The following is a 9,600-nucleotide window of genomic DNA, read 5'->3' as shown; positions in this document are numbered from 1 at the left end:
GAGGGCAGGAATGACAGTCTTTAATTGCCTACACCAACTCTCCCCAATTCCCTGGGAGTGGCCACACGGCGTAGAGAGAGAATCTTTGCATTTAGGAGAGACAGCAAAGTGATTGTGGAACTTTGCATTGGAACTCGGTGCTGCCCTGTCACAGCAGAAAGCAACATGGGGCAAAATTTAGCCAGGGCCCATGGAGGAAGTATTTAGGCCAGCCCTAGCCAGAGGTGAATCATCCATCCCAGTGGTCAGAACCTGAGGTCTAGTAAGCCCCGCCACCATGCACTAAACAGCTCTGGGGTCCTGAATAAATTTGAAAGGCAGCATAGGCCACAAGGCCTTGCAGTTCCTGGGCAAGTCCTAGTGCTGTGCAGGGCTCAGAACTTGGGGTGCATGTGACCCAGTGAGGCACAAGCCAGGGTGGCCAAGGGATGGCTTACATCACCCTTTCTCCAATCTTAGGCAGCACAGCTTGCAGCTCTGGGAGAGACTCCTTACCTCTGCTTGAGGAGAAAATGGAGAGTAAAGAGGACTTTGTTCTGCAACTTGGATACCAGCTCAGCAACAGTAAAATAAGGCATCAGGCAGAGTCCTGAGGCCCCAGTTCCAGGTCCTAGCTCCTGAACAACATTTCTAGACACACCTTGGGCCAGAAGGGAACTTACTGCCTTGAAGGGAAGAACCCAATCCTGGCAGGATTTATCATTTGCTGACTAAAATGCCTTTGTTCCCTGAATAGTCACCAGTGGTATACAGGTAATAGTCACTATGGGCCTTGGGTGAGACTCAGAGCTATGCTGGTTTCAGGTGTGATCCAGCATATTCCAAGCTGTGGTGGCCATAGGGAGAGAGTGCTTCTGCTTGAGGAAAGAAGAGGGAAGAGTAAAGGGGACTTTGTCTTGCAGCTTGGGTACCAGCTTGGGTAGCAGCTTCACCGCAGTGGGGTAGAGCACCAAATATCTCCTGGGGTTCCTGCCTCTAGGCCTTGTTTTCTGTATGGTACTTTGGGAACTACCCTAAGCCACAGGAGCACCCACTTCCCTGAAGGGACAGACTCAGTACTGGCAGCATTCACCTCAGACTGAACGAAGAGCTCTTGGGCCTTGAGTGAACATAGGTAGTAGCCAGGCAGTACTTGCTATGGGCCACTGGTGGTGATGGCCATGGGGAGAGTCACCTCTGATTGAGGAAAGGCGAAGGAAGAGTGGAAAGGGCTTTTTCTTGCAGCTTGGGAGCCATCTTATATGCAGTAGAGTAGAGCACTGGGTAGATTCCTAAGGATCCCAACTCCAGGCCCTGGCTCTCAGATGACATCTCTGGACCTTCCCAGGGCTGGGGGAACTCACTGCCCTGAAGGGAAGGACACAAGCCTGGCTGGATTTGCCACCTGCTGATTGTAGAGCCATTGGTCCTTGAGTGAACATTGGTGGTAGCCAAGTGGTGGTAACTGCGGGCCTTGGGCAAGAGACAGTACTGTGCTGACTTCAAGTCTGATCCGGTAAAATCCCAGTGGTGATGACCACAGAGTGCTTGTGTCACCCCTCTCCCAGCTCCAGGCATCTCATCACAGAGAGAGAGAGAGAGACTCTGTAAAGTAAGGGAAGACAATAAGAGTATCTCCTTGGTAATCCAGGGACTTCTCTCAGATCTTACCCAAGTTCAGCAAGGCAGTACTTCTATGAGTCTGCAAGAGCCATAGCATTACTGGGCTTGGGGTGCCTCCTAATGCAGACATGGCTACAGTGACCAAAGACAGATTACAACGCCTAATTCCCTCTGAATACCTGGAAAGTCTTCCCAAGAAGGATGGGTACGAACAAGCCCAGACTGTGAATATAAATATTTAACCCTTCAATTTCAAGACAACAACATACATCCACAACCATCAGGACAATCCATGAGCTCATGAGATGAACTAAATAAGTCACCAGTGACCAACCTTGGAGAGACAGAGATGTGTGGCCTTTCAGACACAGAATTTAGTATAGCTGTTTTGCGGAAGCTCAACAAAATTCAAAGTAACACAGAGAAAGAATTCAGAATTCTATCAGACAAGTTTAAAAAGCCATTGAAATAAGCTTTAAAAAGTAGAAATTCTGGAGCAAAAAACATAATTGACATACCGAAGAGTACATCAGAGTCTCTCAACAGCAGAATTGATCAAGCAGAAGAAACAATTAGTGAGCCTGAAGATGGGCTATTTGAAAATACACAGTCAGAGAAGACAAAAGAAGAAATAATAAAAAGAATGAAACATGCCTACAAGATCTAGAAAATAGCCTCAAAAGGACAAATCTAAGAGTTATTGGCCTTAAGGAGGAGAGATAGAGAGAGAGAGAGGGGTAGAAAATTTATTCAAAGAGATAATAGCAGAGAACTTCCCAAATCTAGAGAAAGATATCAATATTCAAGTACAAGAAGATTATAGAACACCAAGCAGATTTGACCCAAATAAGACTGCCTCAAGACATTTAACAACCAAACTCCCAAAGGTCAAGGATATAGGATCGTAAAAGCAGCAAGAGAAAAAAAAATAACATGCAAAAGAGTTCCAATACATCTGGCATTAGACTTCTCAGTGAAAATCTTACAGGCTAGGAGAGAGTGGCAAGACATATTTAAAGTGCTGAAGGTAAAACAGCCTTTATCCTAGAATAGTATATCCAGTAAAAATATCCTTCAAGCATAAAGGTGAAATACAAATGTTCCCAGAAAAAACAAAAGCTGAGGGATTTCATCAACACCAGACGTGTCCTAGAAGAAATGCTAAAGGGAGTACTTTAATTTGAAAAAAGTCATCTGAAGGTACAAAACTCACTGGTAGTAGTAAGTACACAGAAAAACACAGAGTATTGTAACCCTATAATTGTGGTGTGTAAACTACTCATATATTGAGTACAGATACTAAAAGATAAACCAATAAAAAAAATTACAACAATTTTTCAAGACATAGTATAATAAAATATAAATAGAAACAACAAAAAGTTAAAAAGCAGGGGGGATGAAGTTAAAGTATAGTTTCTGTTAGTTTTCTCCTCGCTTGTTTGTTTTTGCAATCAGTGTTAGATTTTCATTGGTTAAAAATAATGGGTTATAAGATAGTATTCACAAGCCTCATGGTAACCTCAAATCTAAAAATATACGATACACACAAACAAAAGCAAGAATTTAAGGCATACCACCTGAGAAAATCACCTTCACTAAGTGGAACACAGGAAGAAAGGAAAGAAGGAAGAAAAGACCACAAAACAAGCAGAAAACAAATAAAATGCAGGAGTAAGTTCTTACTTATCCCTAATAACACTGAATGTAAATGAACTAAACTCTCCAATCAAAAGATATACAGTGGTTGAATGGATTAAAAAACAAGACCAAATAATCTGTTGCCTACAAGAAACACTTCACCTATAAAGAACTACATAGACTGAAAATGAAGGGACAGAAAAAGATATTTTATGTGAATGGAAACAAAAGCAGAACTATACTTATACCCGATAAAATAGATTTAAATACAAAAACTATAAGAAGAGACAAAGAAGATCATTATATAATGATAAAGGAGTTAATTCGTCAAGGGGATATAACAATTATAAATATATATGCACCCAACACTGCACCCAAATATATATAGCAAATATTAATTGAGCTAAAGAGAGAGACAAACTCCAATACAATAGTAGCTGGACACATGAACACCCCACTTTCAGCACTGGACAGAACATATAGATAGATAATCACAAAAGAAATATCAGAATTTATCTATAGACCAAATAGACCTAATAGGTATTTACAGACTATTTAACCAATGGCTGCAGAATATACATTCTTCTTCTTAGCATATAGATCATTCTCAAGAATAGACCATATGTTAAGCCACAAAACAAGTCTTTAAAATTTCAAAAAAATTGAAATCATGTCAATGATTTCTTCTAATTTCTTCATTGAAATTAAGAATGAAAAAATGTCTTGAACTACATGAAAATGGAAACACAATATACCAATACCTGTGGAATACACTGAAAGCAGTATTAAGAGGAAAGTTTATGCAATAAGCCCTACATCAAAAAAGTAGAAAAACTTCAAATGAGCAACATAATAATGCATCTTAAAGAATTCGAAAAACAAGAGCAAATCAAACCCAAAGTTAGTAGAAACAAAGAAAGAATAAATATCAGAGCAGAAACAAATGAAATGGGAACAAACAAATAAAAATAAATGAAATGAAAAATTGTTTTTTTTGAAAAGATAAATTAACTTGACAAAGCTTTAGACAGACTAGTAAAAAAAAGAGAAGACCAAATAAATCAGAGATGCAAAAGGAAACATTATAATTGATACCTCAGAAATGCAAAGGAACATTAGAGACTACTATGAGCAACTATATGCCAATTAATTCGAAAATCTAAAAGAAATGGATAAATTCATAGACACATACAACCTACCAAGACTGAACCATAAAGAAATCTAAACATGAATAAACTAATAACAAGTAATGAGATCAAAGTTGTAATAAAAGTCTCCAAGCAAGAAAAGCCTGATGTGTTCATTGCTGAATTTTACCAAACATTTAAAGAAGAACTAATACTAAACCTCAAGCTATTACAAAAAATAGAACAGGATGGAATACTTCCAAACGCATTCTACCTGGCTAGTATTACCCTGATATCAGAACCAGACAAAGACATATCAAATCAAGAAAACTACAGGCCAATATCCCTGATGAACATTGATGTAAAAATCATAAACAAAATAGTAGCAAACTGAATTCAACAACACATTAAAAAGATCATTAATCATGACCAAGTGGGATTTATCTCAGAGATGCAAGGATGGTTCAACATATGCAAATCCATCAGTGCAGCGCATTGTATCAACAGAATGAAGGGCAAATACCATATGATCATTTCAGTTGATGCTGAAAAAGCATTTGATAAAATTCAACATCCCTTTGTGGTAAAAACCCTCAAGAAACTGGGTATTGAAGGAACATACCTCAACACAATAAAAGCCATATATGACAGATGCAAAACTAGTATCATTCTAAATTGGGTTTTCTGAAAACCGAAAGCCTTTTCTGCAAGATCTGAAACATTACAAGGATGCCCACTTTCACCACTGTTATTCAGCATAGTACTGGAAGTCTTTGCTGGAGCAATCAGATAAAAGAAAGAAATAAAGGACATCCAAATTGGAACAGAAGAAGTCAAATTATCCCTGTTTTGCAGATGATATGATTTTATATTTAGAAAAGTGTAAATTCTCCACTGGAAAACTCTTAGAATTGATAAAAAATTCAGTAAAGTTACAGCGTTGCAGGATACAATATCAGCATACAAAATCAGCAGCATTTCTTTTTTCTTTTCGTTTCTTTTTTTTTTTTTTTGAGATGGAGTCTCTCTCTGTTGCCCAGGCTGGAGTGCAGTGGCGCAACCTCGGCTCACTGCAAGCTCCACTTCCTGGGTTCACACCATTCTCCTGCCTCAGCCTCCCGAGTAGCTGGGACTACAGGTGCCCGCCACCACGCCCGGCTAATTTTTTGTATTTTTAGTAGAGATGGGGTTTCACCATGTTAGCCAGGATGGTCTTGATCTCCTGACCTCATGATCTGCTTGCCTTGGCCTCCCAAAGTGCTGGGATTACAGGTGTGAGCCACGGCACCCGGCCCAAAATCAGTAGCATTTCTATATGCAAACAGCAAACAATCTGAAAAAGAAATCAAGAAAGTAATCCCATTTACAATAACTGCAAATAAAATAAAATACCTAGGAATAAACTTAATCAAAGAAGTGAAAGATCTCTACAATAAAAGCTATAAAACATTGCTGAAAGAAATTGAAGAGGACACACAAAAATGGAAGGATATTCCATGTTCATGGATTGAAAGAGTCAGTATTGTTAAAACATCCCTACTACCAAAAGCAATCTATAGATTCAATCAAATATCTATCAAAATACCAATGATACTCATCACAGAAATAGGAAAAATAATCCTAAAATTTATGTGGAACCATAAAAGACCCAGAATAGCAAAAGCCACCCTGAGCAAAAAGAACAAAACTGGAAGAATCACATTACCTACTTCGAATTGTACTACAGAGCTATAGTAACCAAAACCATGCCAGCATGGTACTGGCATAAAAAAAAATAGACCAATGGAACAGAGTAGAGAAGCCAGAAACAAATCCATTAATCTGCAGTGAATTCATTTTTGAAAAAGGTGCCAAGAACACACACTGGGGAAAGGACAGTCTCTTTAATAAAAATAGTTCTGGGACAACATTACATTCATATGCAAAAGAATGAAACTAGACCCCTAACTCTTGTTGTATACAAAAATCAAATCAAAATAGATGAAAGACTTATACTGAAGACCTCAAGCTAGGAAACCATTAAAAGAAAACACTGGGGGCCAAATAGATGTGGTGGCTCATACCTGTAATCCCAGCACTTTGGGAGGCGGAGATGGGCGGATCACTTGAGGTCAGGAGTTCAAGACCAGCCTGGCCAACATAGTGAAACCTCGTCTCTACTAAAAACACAAAAATTAGCCAGGCATGGTGGCAGGCACCTGTAATCCCAGCTACTCGAGAGGCAGAGGTAAGAGATTTGCTTGAGCCTGGGAGGTGGAGGTTGCAGTGAGCCAAGATCACGCCACTGCACTCCACCCTGGGTGACAGACCAAGACTCAGTCTCAAACAAACAAACAAACAAAAACAAGAAAACATTGAAACATTGGGGAAAGTCTCAAGGATATTGGTCTGGGCAAAGATTTCTAGAGTAATACCCCATAAGCACAGGCAACCAAAGCAAAAATGGACAAATGGGATCACATCAAGTTAAAAATCTTCTGCACAGCAAAAGAAACAACTAAGTGAAGAGACAACCCACAGAATAAGAGAAAAAAATTGCAAATTATCCATCTGACAAGGGATTAATAACCATAATATATAACGAGCTCAAATAGCTCTATTAAGAAAAAATATAATGATCCAATTAAAAATGGGCAAAATATCTAAATAGACATTACTCAAAAGAAGACATACAAATAAATAGCAAACAGACATATGAAAAGGTGCTCAATATCATTGATCATTAGAGAAATGCAAATCAGAACTACAATGAGATGTCATCTGACTCCAATTAAAAAAACTAGAGCTACCATATGATCCAGCAATCCCAGTTTTTTATATATTATGGTTATTAATCCCTTGTCAGATGGATAATTTGCAATTTTATTCTCTTATTCTGTGGGTTGTCTCTTCACTTAGTTGTTTCTTTTGCTGTGCAGAAGATTTTTAACTTGATGTGATCCCATTTGTCCATTTTTGCTTTGGTTGCCTGTGCTTATGGGGCATTACTCTAGAAATGCTTGCCCAAACCAATATCCTGGAGAGTTTCCCCAGTGTTTCAATGTTTTCTTGTTTTTGTTTGTTTGTTGGGTATATACCCAAAAGAAAGCAAAAGTATATTGAAGAGATATCTGCACTCCAACGTTTATCACAGCACTATATTATTCACACTAGCCAAAATTTGGAAGCAACCCATGTGTTCATCAAGAGACAAATGGATAAAGAAAATGTGGTACATATACACAATGGACTATTATTCAGTCATAAAAAAGAATGAGATCCTGTCATTTGCACAACATGGATGGAACTGGAGGACATCTGTTAAGTGATATAAGCCAAGCACAGAAAGACAAACTTCTTATGTTCTCACTTATGTGTGGTAAATTAAAATTAAAACAGTTGAATTCATGGAGATAGAGAGTAGAACGGTTTCCCAGAGGCCAAGAAGTGTAGTGCTGGGAGGCTGGCAGGGGCCTGAGGGGCATGGAGGTGGGACAGTTAATGGTAGATATAAAAATATAGTTAGATACGAGTGAATAAGATCTAGTATTCACTGGCACAATGGGGCACCTACAGTCAACAATAATTTATTTTATATTTCAAAACAACAAAAAGATTATAATCGGATTGTTTGTAACACAAAGAAAGGATAAAAGCTTGAGGTGATGGATACCTTATTTACCATGATATGATTATTATTCATTGTATGCCTGTATTAAAATATCTCATATACCCCATAAATATATACACCTACTATGTACCCACCCACAAAAATTTTAAAAAAAATCTCCAGGTTACAGTTGAGGAACCTGGGTTGTAGAGATGTTAGGTAACTTTAATATTGAGGCTGGAAAGAATTTCATCTTGGTTAAAGCTTGTTACTTGTGGCGCTCTTCCTGCATGTCCCCACACCGTGTTTCCCCATGATATATGGTTTGGACTAAGTTAAGAAGCTAGTGCTAAATAAATGCTCCTCATTTCTTCTTTTCAAATGATGAACAAAACTTCTTTTCCAAAAAACAAAAGCTGAAAACAAAACGTGACAGTTCTTTTGTCTCAACTCTTCTTGCTAAGAACCTTTTAAAAGTGACAATCCTATTTTCTCTGTGTCTGAAAAGCATTTTAGAGTAATTCGTAACTTAGAGCAACTATGTAAGCCCCAGAATCCCATTGCCGACTGTGTGTTTTGCCCATAAATCTTCAAATTAGTCAAGCTTTGTCAGTTCAGAGCGGTGCAAAATAAATAATATTAATAAACATGAATCATTTCAAGTCATAGCATAAACCTGAAAATTTCTTCCCCCAAATAGATAATTTTTATACATCCAAAGGTGGAGTCTAATAAGGAAAGTTAGTAATGAAAATTGCTAACACTGAAATCTTGTGCTCATCTCTTTTCAGCAGTGTAAAATAGAATACTTTATCAAAATGGAACTGTCAATAATGTTCAATTTCCTTTAACAACTACACTCTAAATAGATTTAACTGGCTATTTCCTTCACACATTCTCAATGAGAGTATTGATTAGTATGAAAGAAATTGACAAATAATTAGAATCATATCCCCAAACTTCCTATCTATTAATCATAAGGAAACACAGAGGCTTGCTTAGGTCTCCCAGTTTTTTAATGATGACTTTCATTCATGTTTCTCAGAGAAACAAAAGAATATACTTCATATTATTTTGTATGTAACTCCTTTGCATAGCAATTCTCAAATATTAGTATTCATCAATAACCACTTTAAGGTTATATCATTAGAATTGTCTATGTTCTTGTCTTGTTATCAGTAATAAAACCATGAGAAATTCCCATCTAGTATTTCTGATGCTTTAGGGAATACTAAGTAATAGATTTGAAAAAACTTACAAGTGCCCTCTAATTACAAGACAGGATTAAGCTCCATGGAAATACAGCAGTGGAATAAGCTTTTCAACTTAACGGTTTTTTAAATACACTCTTGTTTTCCCATGGAAAGATGTTTAAAAATCATTATGATTCATGATAACCAATTATTTTGTTGTTTTTGGATGAGATTATTTTTATAGATTTATTGAGTTATAACTGACAACACATTAAATTGTTCATATTTACAGTAAACAATAAGTTTTGACATATGTTTGCACCTGTGAAGCTATAACCACAATCTAGATAGTGAATATTTCCATCATGAGACATAATTTTGAGTATGTCAAAAATGTAAAATTTTGGTGACCATCAGATTTCCAGGGATATCTGGCTTCAGGAGGCCATAT

Source organism: Homo sapiens, chromosome 14 (genome assembly GCF_000001405.40).
Source record: "Homo sapiens chromosome 14, GRCh38.p14 Primary Assembly".
NCBI lineage: Eukaryota > Metazoa > Chordata > Mammalia > Primates > Hominidae > Homo > Homo sapiens.
This window is presented reverse-complemented; position numbering follows the sequence as displayed.